This window comes from Homo sapiens, chromosome 16 (genome assembly GCF_000001405.40).
Source record: "Homo sapiens chromosome 16, GRCh38.p14 Primary Assembly".
NCBI lineage: Eukaryota > Metazoa > Chordata > Mammalia > Primates > Hominidae > Homo > Homo sapiens.
This window is the reverse complement of record NC_000016.10, coordinates 24,306,116-24,327,886: the sequence shown is the minus strand read 5'-3', so window position 1 is coordinate 24,327,886 and position 21,771 is coordinate 24,306,116. Positions and strand designations below refer to the sequence as shown.

The window sequence follows — 21,771 nt, the reverse complement described above, 5'->3', positions numbered from 1 at the left end:
CACTGCAGCCTCAAACTCCTGGGCTCAAGTGATTTTCCTGCCTCAGCCTCCCATGTAGCTGGGACTACAGTTGCTCACCACTATGCTCCATTACTGTTTTCATTTTTTGTAGAGATGTGGTCTCACTATGTTGCCCAGGCTGGCCTTGAACTCTTGGCCTCAAGCGATCCTCCTGTCTCAGCCCCCCAAAGCATTGGGATTACAGGCATGAGCCACTGCACCCGGCCTGTTTTTTTTGTTTTGTTTTGTTTTGTTTTTGTTTTTTTTGAGACAGGTTCTCACTATGTCACTGAGGCTGGAGTGCAGCGGTACAATCATAGCTCACTGCATCCTTTAACTCCTGAGCTCAAACGATCCCCCCAACCTCAGCCCCCCCATATATATATATATGTATATATTCATAGTATATGTGTGTGTGTGTGTGTGTGTGTATATATATATATATATACACACACACACACACATATATATATTCGTAGAAACAAGTTCTTATTTTGCCCAGGCTGCTTTCGAACTCCTGGTGAGGAGTTCGAAGTGAGGGCTCAAGTGATCCTCTCACTTTGCCCTCCCAAAGTGCTGGGATTACAGGCATCAGTCACAGCACCCAGCCTGGATGAACTGTCCTTTAAGCTTTGTTTATTGGCATCTCTTCACTGCCTGAGACTCTCCTTTTATTCCAGAGCCTCTCTGAGCCCAAGTCTTCTTTTCCTCTTCCTTCTCTCATTGCTATGGCTTTTTTTTTTTTTTTTTTTTTTTTTTTGGTTTGGAGCCCCTGCCTTGGCCACTCCTTAGAGACTTAGGACTCCACCTCTCTGCATGAGGAGGAAGCCAGGCTACCATCACATTTACCGCCACCTCCTTCATCCCCATCACCTGCTGCCATTAGCAGGGAGAGGCCAGCCTCTGTTTCTGGCCTGAGCCTCGAGCCTGGAGCCTCCAGTTAGCGTCATTAGCTAGACTGGTTCAGGATCAGGTGGCAGGGGAGCGAGATCATGGCGTGTTTCTCTGGTCAAGGGGCTAAGGTTACTGGTCTGTACCAGGCATCTGGAGGGAACATCTGTTCTAGCTGCCAGAGGAGCTTCCATTCTCCCTTCCACTGGTAAGGCTACCTTCATTCCACTGTAGGGAATGCCTTCTCTCCCTCTTCAGCCTGTGCAGAGAGTGAGGTGAGCATAGGGTGACTCCATTGTCAGTTTCAGAAGTGGGCATGTGATTCAGTCCTGGCCAATCAGAATTCTAAATTCTCCTGGCTACAGTGGTTGGCTAAGAGGGTGAGCACATGACCCAGATCTGGCCAATCAACATGTCTCACCACCTTGATTGGCGTGATTGGTTCAGGGGAGGGCAAGTGACCAAGTTTGTCCAGTGAAGATAGTCTTGGAACATTGGTTAGAAATGTTGAGAAAGAAAAATTTTGGCCGGGTGTGGTGGCTCATGCCTGTAATCCCAGCACTTTGGGAGGCCGAGGCGGGCGGATCACCTGAGGTCGGGAATTCGAGACCATCCTGACCAACATGGAGAAACCCTGTCTCTACTAAAAATACAAAATGAGCCGGGCCTACTGGCGCATGCCTGTAATCCCAGCTACTCGGGAGGCTGAGGGAGGAAAATTGCTTGAACCTAGGAGGCGGAGGTTGTGGTGAGCAGAGGTTGTGCCATTGCACTCTAGTCTGGGCAACAAGAGCGAAACTCCATCTCAAAAAAAAAAAAAAGAAAAAAGAAAAAACAAAAAAGAAAAATGTTATTTTCCATTGAGTGGCTAAGCTAGTGGGCTGGGGCTACAGTTGCCAAGCCCCCAACCCCCCCACGTTGGAGACAGCAAGCTTGAGGGTGAAATCAAGGCAGAGATTTCAGAATAGAGCTGAGAGGTGTTGACCATCTGAATCTTGCTAATATCATTTGAGTCCCTGGCTCCAGCCATGCTTGAAACAGGTAAACCTTGGGTATTTCAGTTCCATCAGCCAATAGCTTATGTGGCTGCTTACGCTTATTTGAAATGGATTTCTGTACTTTGCAACTGAGAGTCCTCACAAACTGAGAGTCCTCACCTGTTTGGAACAGCAGCACCTACCATTTATTAAGCTCTAACCATGTAATAGTCTCCCAGTCCCAGCTTTGCCTCCATGCCTGCTCTGCAAACCTGAGCAACTCACATTATTACCATTTGTGATCTTGGTTTCCACAGTTGTGAAAAGAAGCTCATAAACTCTACTTTTCCTACCTGTCGGGCTTGTTGTGAGCATCAAAGTGATGGGTATGAGGCGGCTCATAAACTGTGAATCACCAGCCCGTGCTGCATAACAGTACTGGGCACCTTCTCCCAGCCGCAGAGCTCGCTGGGGTTGGCGGGGCTTGCGCTCAGCAATGCATTCCAGCTGATGTACGCCAGCACTGGGGTCTGGCTCCTAGGACTTGGGAAAGGGAGCTCCCAGGGTCCCGAGTGTTTCTGATCTCAGGAGTGTGGGAGAATAGAGTGGGCTAAAGGTTGGTGGTGGGTGACTCTGCTGAATGTTAACTGACGTCCCCCTAACCCTTGTTCCCATGTACCTGATGATGTTTCTTTTGTCCCAGGGAATGAGAACATCTCAGCAGATGCTGTCATGGATCAATGATCCAGACCACATGTACCCACCTCTGCTGTCCCCCAGAATTTAGACACCCCTCAAGGGAAGGAATTGGCTAAGATTAAAGAATTGGCTGATATTAAATTCCTGCCCTCTTCCCCCAGTAGACACAGAACTCATAACATAAATTCATTCATTCATTTCACTCAGTAAATATCTGCCCTGTGCCTGGCATCTCTACAGGCACTGTGGCTCCGCAGGCATGACATAGAGCACTCTTGGTTCTTCAAAGGGGATGGGGAGGACAATGGAACAAATGACTTCCAACAGCAATCAGAGCTAAAAAGACCCTCAACATAAGGGGCTCAGAGTGACCCAGGGTGATGAGGCAGGGAGGAGGTCTTTGAGAGAGCTGTGTGGCCTGAGAGTTGAAAGCGGAAAGAAACAGCCCCCTTGCAAATCAGGGCAAGCAGTGCAGGCAGAGGGAAGAGGAAGGGCTGGCCTTGTAGTAGCATAAGCTGGGGCATGGAGGAACAGAAGAGACCCAGTAGGGAACAGCAGAGTAGAGGGAGAAGGAGAGAAAAGCTGAGAGAAGGCTGAGACCACAGGAGGGAGAGCACATGGGCCACTGAGGAGCATTTATTCCAAGGGCAATGGGGCTTTCAGGGATTAAGCAGGAGAGTGATATGATAGGATATGCATTTTGTAAATGGTCCCTCAGGCTGCCAGATGGAGAATGATCTGGGGTGGGGGCAATGGTGATTTGAGCTAAACTGGCAGCTGGGGAAGTGGGAGAAGCTGTTGCCTTTGGCTACGATGATATTTTTGAAGGCAGAGCCAATGAGACTTGGTGTGTTGGGTCTGGGGAGTGGGGGAAACAGGCACCAGTGATGTCTATGCTTTTTGCCTGTGTATGGCTGGGGTAAGTAGTGGTACTAGGAGATGAGGTGGAAAAACTAGGCAAGAGGCAGATTTAGCAAGGAAATTAAGAAATGAAGTTCACTTGCAGAAAAATAGTTATATTCACACACACCTGGGTTTGTGGGCTGAATTCTGTATCCACTAGAAATACAAGCAAGGCAGATGCGGGTTCAAATCCCAGATCCACCACTTGCTGTGTGACATTGGGACCTTTACCTTTATTGAACTTCAGCTTTTTATACACAGGGATGGCAGTGTCTTTCTAACAGGCTTTATTGTTGTCTGGCTCTTTGAGAATTCAATAAAAAATGTATATAAGAAATCTAGTGGCTGGGTACATTGTCTCACGTCTGTAATCCCAACACTTTAGGAGGCCGAGGCAGGCAGATCAGGAGTTCCTGAGGTCAGGAATTCGAGACCAGCCTGGTCAACATGGTGAAACCCCATCTCAACTAAAAATAAACAAATTAGCCTGGTGTGGTGGTGTGCACCTGTAATCCCAGCTCATCGGGAGACTGAGGCAGAAGAATCGCTTGAACCTGGGAGGTGGAGGTTGCAGTGAGCTGAGATCACTCCACTGCCCTCCATCCTGGGCCACAGTGACACTCTGCCTCAAAAAGAAGGACATCTGGTAAGGTGCTGGACACATTCTGAGTGCTAAGTAAGTTTTATTCTTCTTCCCTCTGCCCTTCCAGGCAAAGGTAATGACTCCATTTGTCTATTATATTTATTAGTATCAACCTGTGGGAATGATGATCTTGACTTACTGAGCGTTGCTGTGATCCAACCTCAGTATCAACTGCTTTATATCAACATGAAGTCAAACCGACCTGGGATTGCATCCTGGTACTACCCCCTAGTAACTGCATCCTTGAGCTAGTTATTCAACCACTCTGAGCTTCAGTTTTCTTTGTTTAAAATAGGTGTAATGCTGCTATCCTCAAAAGACTGCTATGAGTATTAAAAGGCCATTGTAAAAATCAAAAAGCTTGGGAACATCTTAGATAATCTTTATTAGGGGAAGGATTAGATTCACTAAGATACATCCATGCTAGGGTCTAGTATAGGCAGCAATCATAAAGAATGAGGAAGTTCTGACCATCTGATGACCCAGAAAGATGTCCATATGGAAGGCCTCATCTCTCTCTTTCTCTCTCTCTCTTTTTTTTTTTTTTTTTTTTTGAGTCCTGCTCTGTGGCCCAGGCTGAATGTAGTGGCTCAATTATGGCTCACTGCAGCCTCAACCTCCCAGGCTCAACTGATCCTCCCAGCTCAGCTTCCTGAGTAGCTGGGACTACAGGCATTTGCCAGTATGCACAGCTAGTTTAAAAAGTTTTTTGTAGAGACAGGCTCTTGCCATGTTACCCAGGCTGGTCTCATATTCCTGAGCACAAGTAATCCTCCCACCTCAACCTCCCAAAGTGCTAGGATTACAGGTGTGAGCTGCCACACCTGGCCTTCATCTCATTTTTGTAAGGCGAAAAATATATGTGAGTGGATTGCAAGGCTGGTTATGTGAATAGTGGCCCTGGGAGTTGAGCAGTGCACTACCTGAGCAACTGTATAGAGGTATTTTGTGGCTTGATAGCAAAATAGGTAGATATTGATTTAGATTATAGACATAATCACAGATAAAGACATGAATATAGATATGTCTCAATATGCACACGGAATGACTGAGAAAGTTACTTTAAGGAACCTCTGTGGGTTGGGGAGGGGGTAGAATTTGAGAAGCAGAAGGGGAAAAACTTTTGCTTCTTACACTCTCCTCTTAAAAGTGCTTTAGGAGGGAGTTTTACTTTTTTTTTCTTTTTGGCTCCATTTTCTTGTATTTTACAAATGTAAAAGTCTTCTAAAAACAGAGCTAATGCATAAGAAAATGTTTAGCTAAGCACTGCCTGGCACGAGATTTGTATGTTCAATAAAAATGGCAACTAAAGAGAAAAAAGAGTGTGTTTAGTGGGGAGGGGGCAGAGGAGAAGACTAAGAGAAACTGTGGCTGTGAAGCATCCAGCTTCTCTTGGCAGCTTGTGGCAGGTCCCCAAGGGTGGCCGGGGTTCCTTTGAGGCGCTAATGACCTGATAGAGTCATTCACAGGCACTGGCTGGGCGGTGTTCTCCCGGGGCATCTGGAGACGGTGCTCCTTCCTCACCTAACGAAGGAGTGATGCTGACGTGAGCATTTCAATCCAAATGGGAGAGTGAGAGTCATCAGCGGGGCACAGGGTGGGGGTGAGGGTGGCTATGTCTGAGTTCCAGGCTCTTCCCTGCTCTCCTCCTCCCGCCTGTCTGGTTTCCAATTCAGGTTCCCCCATTGAATTAGCTGTATAACTTTGGCAAGTGACTTAACTGCTTGAGGCCTCAGTTTCCTCATCTGGTACACGGGTATACAGCAGTCCCTTCTCATCCACACGGGATACATTCCAAGACCCCCAGTGGATGTCTGAAACTGCGAATAGTACAAAAACCTATTTATACTGATTTTTCCTCTACGTACCTACCTATGATAATGTTTAATTTATCAATTCTACACAGTAAGAGAGTAACAACAGTAATTAATAAAACAGCACAATTATAGCAGTATATCATCATGAAAGTTATCACTCACTGTGGCCATAACTCTTGCAGTTTGAGATGTGACAGCAAAACTTGCCTGAATTTACTTTTCACAATTTCATGGATAGGAGATTCCTTCCCTAGATCTTAGCAACCTCAATAGATGATTTTCTTTTCTTTTGTAAGTCAAGAACTTTCACCTTTTCACTTAAAGGAAGCGCTTGACAGCTTCTCTTTGGCGTATTGGAATGGCAAGCATAACTACTCTTGTGCTTTGGGGATGCTATTAAGTAAAACTAGGGTTACTTAAACACAAGCACTGTAATACTAACACAATCCATCTGATAACCGAGACAACTCTTTATTTCTATTTCTTTTATTTTTATTTATTTATTTATTTATTTTTGAGCCAGAGTCTCACTCCATTGCCCAGGCGGGAGTGCAGTGGTGAGATCTCGGCTCATTGCAACCTCTGAGGTTCAAGCAATTCTCCTGCCTCAGCCTCCTGAGGAGCTGGGATTACAGGCACATGCCACCATACCCTGTTAATTTTTGTATTTTTAGTAGAGACAGGGTTTCACCATTTTGGCCTCAAGTGATCCTCCCGCCTCAGCCTCCCAAAGTGCTGGGATTACACAAAGGCGTGAGCCACTGTGCCTGGCCTGATAACCAAGCCAACGGTTAAGTGACTAACAGGTGGTTAGCATCTACAGTGTGGATACTTGGGACAAGGGAGGATTCACATCCTGGGTGGGATGGTGCAAGATTTCATCACACTACTCAGAACAGTGTGCAGTTTAAAACTTATGAATTAGGCCAGGTGCATTGGCTCACACCTGTAATCTCAGTGCTTTGGGAGGCTCAGGTGAGAGGACCATTCAAGGCCAGGAGTTTGAGACCAACCTGGGCAACATAGTGAGACCCTTTCTCTACCCAAAATGAAAAAAAAAATTATTAGGCATAGTGTTGCATGCCTGTGGTCCCAGCTAATCGGGAGGCTGAGGCAGGAGGATTGCTTGTGTCTAAAGGGTTGAGACTGCAGTGAGACGTGATCATGCCACTGCGTTCCAGCCTGGACTACAGAGCAAGACTGCATCCCTAAAAAATAAAATAAAATAAGAAAAACGTATGAATTGTTTCTTTCTGGAATTTTCCATTTAATATTTTCGAAACTTAGTTGACCATAGGTAACTGAAAACAAGGAAAGTGAAGCACAGAACACAGTGAAATACTCATTAACTTTCAGCTAGGATTAGTATTAGTCCTAATACTGTATTAATAATATAGTATTGGTATATTAGTATTAGCATTATTTCTAAGGTCCACAATCCCTTATCCAAGCTCCTGAAATCCAAAAAGCTCTGAAAAAAATAAAAGTTCCTTGGATTTTATACAGCAGCAAACTGTGAGGTCATCACATGGACTTATTTGGGAGCAAAATCTGACCTGAGCTGACTTGGGAAAGTATTCATGGTCTTTATTTATTTCACTTGTTATGATTATTTCTAAGTTTTGCTGCAGAGCAATGAATGCATCTGACTGCAGGGTGCTGCCCGGGGGTGTTAAGTTATCTGTGGTAAATGAACCCTCATGCCTTTGTAAAATCCTAAACATTTGAATTTCTGAAACGCATCTGAGTATGAGACTGTGGACCTATACCATAATGAGCACAGCAGATCACGCATTCCCCAGTTTTTATGCTTTTCTCCATATATTTATGTCACATGCTTTAACATTTATGTTACATTTCTCTTGTGAAAGTTGTCAGAATAAAAATGGAGTCACTTGTGTTAAAAACCCTAACAATCCCAGCACTTTGGGAGGTCAAGGCAGGCAGATCACTTGGTTAGGAGTTCGAGACCAGCCTGGCCAACATGGTGAAACCCCATCTCTACTAAAAATGCAAAAATTAGCGGGGCATGGTGGTGTGCACCTGTAGTCCCAGCTCCTTGGGAGGCTGAGGCAGGAGAATCGCTTGAACCCATGAGGCGGAGGTTGTAGTGAGCAGAGATTGTGCCACTGCACTCCAGCCTGGGCAACAGAGTGAGACTCTCTTTAAAAACAAAACAAACAAACAAAAATAACCCTGACAAGTCTGGGCATGGTGGTTCATGCCTGTAATCCCAGAATTCTGGGAGGCTGAGGCAGAAGGATTGCTTGAGGCCAAGAGTACAAGACCAGCCTGGGCAACACAGCAAGACTCTATCTCTATGAAAATAAATAAATAAATTAAATAAATAAATAAATAAATAAAAGCCAGGCATGGCACATGCCTATTGTCCCTGTTGTTGATTGAGGCCAGGAGGTCAAGTCTGCAGTAAGCCATGATCACACCACTGCACTCCAGCCTGGGAGACAAAGCAAGACCTCTTCTCTTGCAAAAACCATAACTTTGCACAAAGACCATTGCAACCTTACACACACAAAAAATACTTTTACGAGGACATCTTCCCAGCAACTGCCTGTCCAACCTCGAACTGGCACCACCCTTGTTATTCATCCTTGTAGCCAAGGATAACTATCTCAAAACAATTACACAATCCCCCTGATTTTTCCTTTAAAAACCTTTGTCTTCCTTTACCTCCCTGCCTAAATATGCGCATAGTTCACTATGGCACCTGTATTCCCATTGCAATGCCTATTCCCTAATAAACGTCATTTTCTTTTGAAGCATTTTCCTCTCTGTCATTTAGGTTGACACTCTTTAAATCAACCCGGTTTCTTTTTTAACTTAAATTTATTTTCAAAGGAAACTTTATAACCCAACTGTAAATGGAAAGTGAGTATCTCTGGCTGTAAATAGAAGGCCACTGTAAAAATAAACACAATGAAAACAAAATGATTTTATTAAATTCCAGCCAGATACCATGAATTGAAAAGGAAATAGCTTTCTCACCATGTGGTGAGATCTTATTTAATGCCTTGTCCGGATGCCACATAGCAGCCTTGGTAGATGCTACCTGCAGCCAGGGAGCCTCCTACTGGTGGGGTTGCCTGCCTGGTAGAAGGAAGGGACTAGTTAGCCCCCAACCCCTTCAACCTGAGGTAGGTAGCACAGATAATCCATGCTTCAAGGAACAGCATTAACAGCTGCCCTTCCTCTGGTTAGAGCACCCAGAATATGCCCAAAACTACTTGGTAACATGTGACCCCACCTGCAACAGGAGGTGTCCTGTTGAACTGTAATCACAAGGACATTTATTATCCTTGAGCCACTATCGCTGGGAGGTGCCATAGTATGACCAGAGGGTGGTGAGCCTAGTAGCTTGTTTTGGCTGGAAGTGAGACCCCAGGGTCTGGGCACTAGGCAAGAAGCTGCTGTTTTTTCATTCATTCATTCGAAAAAGGATATACAGGCCGGGTGCGGTAATTCATGCCTGTAATCTCAGCACTTTGTGAGGCCAAGGTGGGAGAATCACCTGAGGTCAGGACTTTGAGACCAGCCTGGCCAGCATGGTGAAACCCCATCTCTACTAAAAATACAAAAATTAGCCAGGTGTGGTGGCACATGCCTGTAGTCCCAGCTACCTGGGAGGCTGAGGCAGGAGAATGGCTTGAACCTGGGAGATGGAGGTTGCAGTGAGCTGAGATAGTGCCACTGCACTCCAGCCTGGGTGACAGAGTGAGACTCCATCTCAAGAAAAATGAAAAAAAAAATACAAAAGGATATACTGAGTGCCTCCTACGTGTTAAGCACCATACCCAGCTCTAGGGATGCTGAGGGACAAAGCTCCTGCCTTTGTGAATATGGGAGAGATGGAGAAGGATCATATGAAGGAAATAAACAAGGAGGCAGGATAGCCTGTCACAGTGGGAGGTCAGGGAAGCCTCTCAGAGAAGGGGCATCTGGGCTGAGACCAAATGCCAAGCATGAGCAGCCACATTAAGATGAGCGGGAGAGCATCTGGGCTGAGTGACCAGCAAGTGCACAGGCCCAGAGGCTGGAATTCTCACCTCTCATCACCCCATCTTCAAGGAAGCACTTCTGAAGCTTCAGGGGGTGCAGAATCCCTAGGAGTGGGGGTCAGAGGGAGGTTGGCTTCAGATTCCTGGGCCATAACTCAAGAGGATCTGATTCAGCAGGTCTGGGGTGGGACCCGAGGTTCAGCATTTCTTTTTTCTTTTCTTTCTTTTCTTTCTTTCTTTCTTTCTTTCTTTCTTTCTTTCTTTCTTTCTTTCTTTCTTTCTTTCTTTCTTTTCTTTTCTTTCTTTCTGTCTGTCTTTCTTTCTTTCTTTCTTTCTTTCTTTCTTTCTTTCTTTCTTTCTTTCTTTCTTTCTTTCTTTCTTTCTTTTTCTTTTTTTTTTTTGAGACAGAATCTCCCTCTGTCACCCAAGCTGGAGGCAGTGGCTTGATTCAGCTCTCTGCAACCTCTGCCTTCTGGGCTCAAGCAATTCTCGTGCCTCAGCCTCCTGAGTAGCTAGGATTACAGTTATGCACCACCACACCTGGCTAATTTTGTATTTTTTAGTAGAGATGGGGTTTCACCATGTTGGCCAGGCTGTTCTCAAACTCCTGACCTTAAGTGATCCGCCCGTTTTGGCCTCCCAAAGTGCTGGGATTACAGGTGGGAGCCACCAAGTCCGGCTTGCTTCTACACCTTCTTACCCATGTAACCTTGTTTGAATTTCTCAACATCTCTAAGCTTCAGTTTCCTCAATTGGAAAATCGGAATGACCTATTATATGAGATAATATAAAGCACCTAGCATGCCCCTGAGACATGGGATGTGTGGGCAATAATGATGATGACAGTTACTATGTAGCCTGGAGGGTCACTCATGGGACCCTTTTATTCACAGGAGTTCCCTATGTAGGAAACTGGTGTCATGATGCCTCTGTCCTAGGTATTATATTAGATTTTCTCCCTGCTATGTGATTCGCTGTGCATTCTAATCCATATTTCACTGGCGAGGACACTAACACTCGTGGAAGTTATTTAAGGGTGACCCAGCCAAGCAGCAAGGCTGGAATTTGAACAAAGGTCTTTTTGAAATATGCTGTTAGTTTGGAATTTCCACCAGGTCTGTTTGTTTCCACTCCACATGGGGCCACTGTGTCAGGAACTTGGGGGAAGCCAGATTAACTGGGCCAAACCGTGTCACTCACTTCCAGGAGCCAAGGGTGGGGAAGGGACAGCCTGGGTCAGCCTGGGTCTGGTCAGAGGCCCTGAGGTCTTTGGGGAGTGCAGTGGAGTCTGGGGGTGTCTCAACTGGGGCTGCTGTGAGGAGGACTGGGAAGGTGCCCAGAGCACCGGGAAGCCACAGATGAATCAATCAGTTGATGCCCCAGTAAGCAACATGGTGCCCACGCCATGCTGGCTCTGTGGGGGACACAGAAAAGCAGGCCATGTCCTTCCCGCAGGAGCTTTGTCTCACTGAGGAGAGAGAACACAGACTCACAGAGTCCACTTTAGAGCAGGCAGAGAATGCTCTCAGTGTGCCGGACATTTGGGGTGGGGCTTGAAGGACAGGCCAAGCCTGGTCCTCAGTGAGGGTGCTGCCCTGGGAAGGCGTGGGGGCATGTTTCAGGGGATGGCATAGCTCCGACAATGGGGAGGGCTGCTGCCAGGGATTGGAAGAGGAGGTGAGAAAGGAGAGCTGTGCTTGCTCTTGGTGCCCTGCATGATGGATAAAGTCCAGACGGTTCCTGAGAGTCCCCCAAAGCAGGGATGTTAAAGTGATGGCGATAGCCTGGCTTCCAGGGTGTGTTATCTTGGACAACTTGCTTACACTCTCTGAACCTCAGCTTCCTCCTCTGTGAAATAGGGATAATAATAATACGGGCTCACTAATTTGCTGTAGCATTAAATGAGACAATATCTGTGAAGTGCCTGGCATGCTGCCTGGCACATAGTACATGCTCAATAAGTGTTATTAATTAAGATGATGGGCCGGGCACAGTGGCTCACACCTGTAACTCCAGCATTTTGGGAGGCCAAGGCAGGCAGATCACTTGAGGTCAGGAGTTCAAGACCAGTCAGGCCAACCTGGAGATATCCCATCTCTACTAAAAACACAAAAATTAGCTGGGCATTGTAGTGGATGCCTGTAATCCCAGCTACTTGGGAGACTGAGGCAGGGGAATTGCTTGAACCTGGGAAGAGGTGAAAGTTACAGTGAGCCAAGATCATGCCACTGCATCCCAGCCTCAGCAACAGGGTAAGACTGTTAAAAGAAGAAAGAAAGAGAGAATGAGAGAGAGAGAGAGAAAGGAAGAGAGAGAAAAAGAAAGAAAGAAAGAGAGACAAAGAAAGAGATAAAGAAAGAGAAGAAAGAAAGAAAAGAAAGAAAGAAGAAAAGAAAAAAAGGAAAAAGAAAGAAAGAAAGAAGGAAAAGAAAGAAAGAAAGCAGGAAAAGAAAGAAAGAGAGAGAGAAAGGAAGGAAGGAAAGAAGGAAGGAAGGAAGGCAGGGAGGGAGGGAGGGAGGGAGAGATGATGATGGTGAGGTTGAGGGTGGTAATCAGAGTAGGAAGGAGTGATGTGATAGGTGTGTTCTGGCAGCTTGGGAAGTAAACCCCAGGAGTCCAAACATCCCTTCCTAGGATTCGGAGGAGACCCTTCCCCCTGCCGAATGTCTGGGTGAGATGCAGAGATGGGTAAACTTTGGTGAAAGGTGCAAAACCAGTTGGCAGTAGGACACTATGGCCCGGCCCTCAGGTACATCACACAGTGAATACTTGTTGATTTAATAGATTTCCAAAAATAATTCTGAGAGGCATTGCAAAGGCACCAGGGATGCTAATGTCAGGGAAGTGGCAGCACCAGCCACTGGCTGGTCATTGTTCCCTGCTAGAACCAAGTCCTTTTGACTGTCAGGTGGGCAAGACACCTCCATGTTCCAGGAGCCTCCTGAGGAACCCAGGTGGAGAATAAAACTATCTTGCACAAGCTCACAGCTTCTTTATGCAGTGGCCCAAGGGATTCACAGACTTGCAAGCTCAGGGACTCTGGTTTTTCGATCATCATAACCCTCGGAACCTGCAGCCCCTATTTTCCATCCTCCTGTCACCTACTTGGGTTTCCTGATTGTGTGGGACTCCTGGAAGGCATGAAAATGAAGGAGAGTAGGTGGAGGTTGGAGGAGGAGGAGGAGGAGGAGGAGGAGGAGGAGGAGGCGAGAGTCCTAGGAGAATTTGCCAGGCTTCAAAATGTAGCTGCCACATGTCTGCTGGGAGTCGGTGGAAACACAGGGACATATATATCTATACCGTGAGGGTTGTGGCAACCCACACATGCAGAACATTTTGATGGTTAATAAATCTTTTTCTTTTCAGAACTGGGCTTTGGTTCAGATGTGCTGGAGACTAGAGAAGAGCCTGCTGTCCAGATTCATCCACGAGCACAAGGCTTCCTTCCTTTTTCACATCAAGGTGCATTGGGAGAAAGGTCAAGGCTGCTCACAGCCCTTAGGCAGCTGGCCTGGAGCTCGATCACCCGTGGCTGCTGGACTGACCTGAGGGCCAAGGGGATTCTTACTTCTGCATAAGAAGCTGCGACTTCTGCCTGACTAGTTATGCGAGGTCCCACACTGAGAAGCGTCTCTGGCTTCATTTAGTGCTCTACTGTCTGTCACTCTCTTGAAATTCTTAACACTTTTTTGAACCAAAGGCTCCCCATTTTCATTTCGTGCTGGACCCCATAAATTATGTACTGGTCCTGCTCAGCACACCAGTAACCCATGACAAGCATACCTTGAGGAAAACTGTTTTAGCACATGAAAAACTGCTAGATCTGTCTTTTTGGCCAGTTTCATTTTTTCATTTATCCTGAAGGGTGTAGAAAAGTAAACGTTTTTAAAAACATAAGGCCAGGTGTGATGAGCACTTTGGGAATCCCAGCACTTTGGGAAGCTGAGGCGGGTGGATGACTTGAGGCCACGAGTTCAAGACCAGCCTGGCCAACATGGCGATATCCTGTCTCTACTAAAAATACAAAAATTAGCCAGGTGTGGTGGTGCGCACCTGTAATCCCAGCTACTCGGGAGGCTGAGGCAGGAGAATCACTTGAACCTAGGAGATGGAGGTTGCAGTGAGCCGAGATCACACCACTGCCCTCCAGCCTGGGCGACAGAACCAGATTGCATCTCAAAAAATAAATAAATAAATAAATAAAAACATAAAAGTCACTTTGGGAGGCTGAGGCAGGAGCACCATTTGAAGCCAGGAGTTTGAGACCAGCCTGGAGAAAATTATAAGACCTTGTCTGTATATAAGTTAGCTGGGTGTGGTGACATGTGCCTGGCTCAGGAGGCTGAGCCAGGAGAATCACTTGTGGAGGTTGAGGCTGTAGTGAGCTATGATCGTGCCACTGCACTTCAGCCTGAGACACAGAGTGAGTTACTGTCTCTAAAAACAAATATAAATAAGTAAAAAATAAAAAAATCAAAAACATAAAAGTGCCGAAAGGAACTCTTGAGACAACTTAGTGTAGGGTTTATGAGCTTAGACTCTGGAGCCAGAGTGTCCAAGTTTAAATCCCAACTGTATTACTTCAAGCTGTGTGACCTGGGGCACGTTGTTTGGCCTTTCTGAGTTTCATTTTCCTCTTCTGTAAATTGGAGCTAATAATAGGATTTATCTCAGAGGGTTGTTTTGAGAAATAAAGGAGTTCACTATAAAAAGTTCTTGGAATAGTGAATGTTTTAATGAATATGTTCTAGCTACTGTTATTTTTTAAAAAGACTAATGGCTTATACACATTAATTACTATTTATTCAGTGCTTACTGGATGACAGAAGCTTCCTTCCTTCCTTCCTTCCTTCCTTCCTTCCTTCCTCCCTCCCTCGCTTTCTCTCTCTCTCCCTCTCTTTCTCTTCTTTCCTTCCTCTCTCTCTTTCTCTCTTTTTCTTTCTTTCTTTCTTTCTTTTATTTCTTTCTTTCTTTTCTTTCTTTCTCTTTCTTTCTTTCTTTCTTTCTTTCTTTCTTTCTTCCTTCCTTCCTTCCTTCTTTCTTTCCTTTTCTTTCTTTTTTTTCTTTCCTTCCTTCTTTCTTTCTTTCACCCTGTCTTGCCCAGCTCTGCCCTGCCTTTTTTCAGACAAGGTCTCACTCTGTGGTCCAGGGCTGGAGTACAGTGGTGGGATCATAGCTCACTGCAGCCTTGAACTCCAGGGCTCAAGTGATTCTCCTGCCTCAGTCTCCCAAGTAGCTGGGACTGCAGGTGTGTGCCACAGTGTCTGGCTAATTAAAAAAAAAATTTTTAAGAGACAGAGTCTTGGTATGTTTACCAGGCTGGTCTCAAATTCTTGACCTCAAGCTATCCTCCTGCTTTAACCTCCCAGGGTGCTGGGATTATAGGTGTGAGCCACCGTGCCTGGCCAGAAGCATACTTTCATTTAGTCCTCACAACAGCTCCAGAAGATAACTATTATTATCACCCATTTTTTTTTACAGATGAGAAAACAGGCACAGAGAGGATAAGGAACTTATGCTAAAGAGCACAGCTAACAAGTGACAGAGCTAGGTTTAGAACCCAGGTAATCTGACTTTGGACGTCATACTCTTTGTATTTCTTTTCATTATGCAATTCACCAAATCAGGAAAAGGAGCATAGATGGGGAGGATAGATGGGACAGGAGCAGATGCTCGGCTCAGTTATGACAGGAAGAGTTGGAGGGACTTGTGGCATAGCAGAGCGGAGACATCCAGTGGTCTGGGTTCTCCCTCAGATACATGTTAGACCTGCAGCTTCCCCACCGGCACACTGTGAACCAAGCACAAACCACATTTCTTCACTGCTCATTGCTGCTCAGCCTCAGCCACAAATGTCTGGCTCCATCATTCCTTCTTGTTGACTCTGATTCCATACTGAGAGCAGACTGGTGCAGGCTGACTCTAACATTTTCTCAAATCAAATAGGTCAGGTCCAGGGACAGACGTGATGATTGATCATGACCAGAAATACCCTGGTCTGTGGACGATAGTCCTGGCTTGGAGAAGCACCGTCTCTTTCCTTTGTGCCTTTACTTACCACCATTTAATTTTATTTGTTTATTTATTTTTTGAGATGGAGTCTTGCTCTGTCGCCCAGGCTGGAGTGCAGTGGCACAATATGGGCTCACCTCCACCTCCCAGGTTCAAGTGATTCTCCTGCCTCAGCCTCCCAAATAGCTGGGATTACAGGCATCCGCCACCATGCCCAGCTAATTTTTGTATTTCTAGTAGAGATGGGGTTTCACCAGGTTGGCCAGGCTGGTCTTGAACTCCTGACCTCAGATGATCTGCCTGCCTGGGCCTCCCAAAGTGTTGGGATTACAGGTGTAAGCCACCACGCCAGGCCCATTTAATTTCTTTATCACATACTGTAAAAGCTTTTAGAATGTACTTAGCACTTTTTTTTTTTTTGAAATGTAGTCTTGTTCTGTCACCCAGGCTGTAGTGCAGTGGCACAATCTCAGCTCACTACAACTTCTGCCTCCCAGGTTCAAGTGATTCTCCTGCCTCAGCCTCCTGAGTAGCTGGGACTACAGGTGGTGCCACCATGCTGGCTAATTTTTGTATTTTCAGTAGAAATGGGGTTTCACCATGTTGGCCAGGGTGGTCTTAAACTCCCGACCTCAGGTGATTCACCCTCCTCGGCCTCCCAAAGTGCTGGGATTACAGGCGTGAGCCACCGCACTTGGTACTTTTTAATGGCACCTTACACACACTAACTCATAATAACCCCATGGGATATTAACACTGTCCGCGTTTTACAGATGACAAAATTGGGACACACAGAGATCTTGTAAATTGCCTTGGATCTATCTGTAGAGCTTTTGCTCTTAACTTTTGCTTCACACTGTGGTTAATGGGGACAACCCAAGTGCCCCTGGGCTGGCTTCCTGCTTCCCAACATGGAAACGGGTGCAGGGACATTGTCTAGACTGTGTCCTGGAGGAATGTTTGCCTCCATTGGACCTCAAACATCTTCAGCAGAGTAGCTTCCTGGAGCCAATTTGTGCATACTGACTGAGAGGCTCAGGGAAGGATGCGGGGAGCCCAGAAAACTTCCTGTTGAATGAACATTCCTCTGTGGGGAGAATACAGGGTGAAATTCCGATGTATAGACTCTAGAGGCAGACTATCCAGGTTCAAATCCCAGCAGCACCCCCTACCAGGTATGTGACCTTGGGTGAGTCACTTAACCACTCTGTGCCTCAATTTCCCTAATCTGTAAAATGGGGTTAACAACAATACCTATCTCACAGGGGCTTTGTGAGGATTAAATGAGGTAATATATGTTAAATGATTAGAACAGTGCCAGGCATGTCATAAACACTATTTTGGTTTGTTTGTTTGTTTGTTTTTGAGATGGAGTCTCGCTCTGCCACCCAGGCTGGAGTGCAGTGGTGCAATCTCGACTCACTGCAACCTCCATCTCTTGGGCTCAAGAGATTCTCCTGCCTCAGCCTCCCAAGTAGCTGGGATTACAGGCATGCGCCACCACACCCGGCTAATTTTTGTATTTTTAGTAGAGACAGGGTTTTGTCATGTTGGCCAGGCTGGTCTTGAACTCCTGACCTCAAGTGATCCGCCCACCTTGGCCTCCCAAAGTGCTGGGATTACAGGCGTGAGCCACTGTGCCCAGCTTAACACTGTTTAAATAAGAGCTATTTTCATTGCTGACTCACTCTGAAGAGCTGACTTCTCGATATCTTTTCTCTGACTTTCAAACATTGAATTTGTCCACAGAGTCTGTTAACTCAGTCTGCAAAGCATAGTCTCTCTTCGGAATCCTTCCCTCCCTCATGCTGGCCCAAGCCATCGCCATTCCTTACCTGGATGGCCCCAGCAATCTCCTTTGTGATCACTCTGCTTCTGGTCTTGCTCATTTCTTTCTCATAGTGACATTTCACACACGCACACACAAAGCCACTTCACATGACTCCATGGCTTTAAAGCCCTCTAGTGGCTTTTTGTCCTATTTAAAATTACGTCTGAAGTCCCCGCGATGTAGCATGACACCTTCTGTGATCCAGCTCTTGTCCACTGTCCAGCCCTCATCCCGACCCCCTTGGTCACACCCAGGCTCCTTACTACCCCAGGGCCTTAGCATGCGCCACGCCCTCTGCCTGGAATACATCTCCTCCTCTGTATTCCCACTCAGGTCTCAGTTCAAAATGTCACCTCTTCAGAGAGGCCCTCTCTGCCGTCCCATGGCAGGACATGATCTGATTTACTCTGTAAAAAGATTATTCTTACTGCTTTGTGGAGAAATCATCACTTTCACAGCATGTCGTTGCACTGTTTCCACCAAATCCCACCAGGCACCAGGCACCCCTGCATGAAAGTACGTGAATTGTAATTCATCTGCTCACTCAATAGGCATTGTGCTTGGAACTGTGTGCAAAACCAAGACAAATGAGTCATGTGGCAGCCCGCCAGGAGGTCACAACCTGAGGTAGAAGCTTATGTGGTGGCTCTCTCATGCTGGAAACATTGTGTGGCTCATAGCTTTTTGTAAAGAGTGAAGTGACTCTGACAGGTGCCAGGAAGCCTGCATTAGAATCCTGGCTCTGGTGCTTGCTGTGATGACCTTGGGCAAGTTACTTAACCTCTCTGAGACTCCCTTATCTCATAGCACAGCTGTTGGAAGTAAAAGACATAAAGTATGGGATGCACCTTGTGCATATTAGGCAGTAGATGTCATTTATTTGCTGCCTTCTTTTTCTACTCTGCATACTTATTAGTCCTTATCTCTTTGTTCAAATGCCTTAACTTTGTGCGCATTGGAGAGATAATCGAACAATGGTTAAGTGCCTGCACTCAGAGCCAGCCGCCACTGCTTTATTAGCTGTGTAACCTTAGGCAGATTGCTTGACACATCTGTGTCTTAGTTTCCACAACTGCAAAATGAGAATAACTATCTAAAGGGCTGCTGTGAAGGGTTAAGTGAGCCAATTCAAGAAATGTAGCCAGGCCAGTGGCACATAGTAAATATTTTTAAATTGTTCACTTTTACTAATGATAATATTAATTAGTTATCTTTTTCTTTTTTCTTTTCTTTTTTTTTTTTTTTTTTTTTTTTTTTTGAGGTAGGTTCTCACTCCATCAGCCAGGCTGGAACACAGTGGTGACATCAGCACTCACTGCAGCTTTGAACTCCTGGGCTCAAGCAATCCTCCCACCTCAGTCTCCTAAGTAGCTGGGAGGCACATGCCAACATGGCTGGCTAATTTTTAAATCTTTTGTAGAGATGGAGTTGCCCAGGCTGGTTTTGAATTCCTGAGCACAAGCGATCCTCTCACCTTGGCCTCCCAAAGTGCTGGGATTACAGGTGTGAGCCACGGCGCCTGGCCTGATAATATTAATTAATTAAGTGCTTACAATGGGTTCAGGCCTGCACAAGAAGATTTAGGAATATAGAAGCAGGTAAATACTGTCCAGCTGCAAGGACGGCTTGCAGAGGCAATGGATGGAACCCAGCAGCACAAAGTTGCACAATTTCTACAGATTCTCAAGCACAGGGAAGGGAAATGGGAGTGCCCTCCACACCTCAGATTGCTGCAGGCACTAGAAGAGTAGGCAGCTTCTGGAACAGTCACATCTAGTCCAGGAAGCAATGAGGACTAGACAGGGTGCTTCTGCCAGGGGCATAGACAGCTTTCCTTGATGATATGGTGAGTGACCTAGGAATGACCCACCAAGTGCGGTCATTCCACCGTTTATAGACTTTTTCCCAGGTTCCTGCTCATCTCTTCATTCAAGCAATGTTTTCTGAGTATCCACAGTCAAAGATCCTGTTTTATGCCCAGGAGTTTTGGATGCAATTAAGTGTTGGCTCCACACATCAACAGTTCAGAGTGCCGTGGGGGAGTCAGCCCGTCTCTGCAAACCCATTGCTTTCTCAGATGCAGATGAGAGAGCACAGATCTTGCACCATTGGACCAAAAAAGAGAGATGCTTCTATTGCAAGCCCTGGGCTGCTGGAGGGACAATGACCACCCCAGCCCACCTCATCTTGGGAGATACCACCAACCCCAAGAAGTAGAGTTATGAATCAGAAATGCAAAGGATCCAACGATGCAATGAAATTACCCACCAGGCAGGATTTCTTCCCTGGCCCCATGTTTCACGCCACCATTCTGTTATGCATGGGGACCTCCAGTTCTTCCATGAGGTGCACAGAGAAATGGAGGGGCTTGAGTTGCTCTGTTCATCATCCATTTGTTGGGTGCATGATGGAGAGAGCTGTGGTAGAGTTTACAGTGGAGCATACTTTAGTGTGTGGGTGACTGTTGTCTTAGACTCTGTCCCCAGAATACACACTCTAGGACAGAGATTTGCATACCAGAGGTTTTTTGGGATGGACTCTTGGGAAGAACCCCCATGTTGTAGGAAGGGGGAAGCAGGACCAGACAGAGGGAGAGGAAGGACTGTGATGCAGCTGTCAGTTGTCACAGTGGACTCAGCCAGTCCTGTGGAGACTCGAGTCAAGATGGCATTTGGAAGCTGGCTGAAGTGGCTCATGTCTGTAATCCTAGCACTTTGGGAGGCTGAGGTGGGTGGATCACTTGAGGTCAGGAGTTCAAGACCAACCTGGCCAACATGGTGAAACCCCGTCTCTACTAAAAATACAAAAATTAGCTGGGTATGGTGGTGTGTGCCTGTTATCCCAGCTACTTGGGAGGCTGAGGCAGGAGAATTGCTTGAACCTGGGAGGCAGAAGTTGCAGTGAGCTGAGATCGCGCCACTGCACTCCAGCCTGTCTCAAAACAAAAGAAAACAACACAACAACAACAACAGCAAAGATGGCATTTGGAGATGTCCAGAAAGAAGGCAAGCTAGATGAACCTCTATACCCTCATACTGCCCAGCTATTGGATGTGGGAAGCCTCTGGGAAGCGGGTGTGACCTTGGCTGAGGCAGCTCCTTTGTGCTGAGAGCAGTACCCGGAGCGGCACTCAACTGTGAATCAGTTGTGTCGGATAAGAACTGTGTTGCCACCACACCTGCCCTCCGTGTCAAACAGACTAAGGGGCCAGTCTTGATCTCTTACTAGTTGAGAGACTGGGGGTCAGTCAACTTCCTGGAGCCTCACTTTCCCCATCTGTAAAATGGGGGTGAGGCCAGGAGGGGCTTCATGGGCTGGAGTGGGTGGGCTGAATGAAGGGCTGTAAGTGAATCTCTAGCATGGCAGTGCAAGCAGAGGTTATTATTATTGTGCCTGGGATAGTGCAGAGTATCCTGCCCGATGCAAACTGTAGGGTGTGTGTATGTGTTGGGGTAGGGGTGGGCAGGAATTTGGCGTGGGGCAGAGAGTGTCCATGAAGGCTTCTTTTAATTGGGGACAGCTGTACATTAAAGAAACTGTGGTACCTGGTGTTAGAGGCAAAGAAGTGGGCGAAGGAGATACCAGATGGGTGGAAGGAATCTTTATTAGTCCAGAGGTGGGAAAGAGCCCCTAACTGCCAGGCGTCCCCTGTCTTTTGGGGTCAGTGCCAGAACTCTCTGCTTTGTTACCCCATACTCTTGCACAGGAAACTCTAGCTTAGCAGCTTTCTGCTCCTGAAGCCACCGTTCAGCCTTTTCACCTTGTTCAGTATGGTCACTTCAGCAGCCAGGAGGCAAAAGACGAAAAGCCCGGAAGGAAGAATAGAAACCCTGAGCTTCCAACGGGCTAAATATAAGCTGCAGTCAAATGCAAAGAAATCCAAAGGCAGTGACCACACGGTGGCTCCAAGAAAAGCCCACTGGTGTGACAAGTCCCACTAATGTATGGAGAGTTGTGGTGTAACTGGGTGAATGGCACCAGA

The 21,771-nt window shown here is 46.4% G+C and overlaps 1 protein-coding gene across 1 annotated transcript in view, besides 1 other annotated feature; it reads right to left on the bottom strand.

Annotated features, from left to right (window-relative positions):
• Window positions 1-21,771, bottom strand: part of CACNG3 (calcium voltage-gated channel auxiliary subunit gamma 3) — a 106,078-nt gene that overhangs the window by 34,526 nt on the left and 49,781 nt on the right. The gene's annotated exons all lie outside the window — the stretch shown is intronic.
• Window positions 11,354-11,854: an enhancer, noted in NCBI's record as "H3K4me1 hESC enhancer chr16:24327354-24327854 (GRCh37/hg19 assembly coordinates)". NCBI's record gives its function as "activates a minimal SCP1, AML or CMV promoter by ChIP-STARR-seq in naive H9 embryonic stem cells {active_cell/tissue: H9 hESC(naive)}" and the evidence as "EXISTENCE:reporter gene assay evidence [ECO:0000049][PMID:30033119]".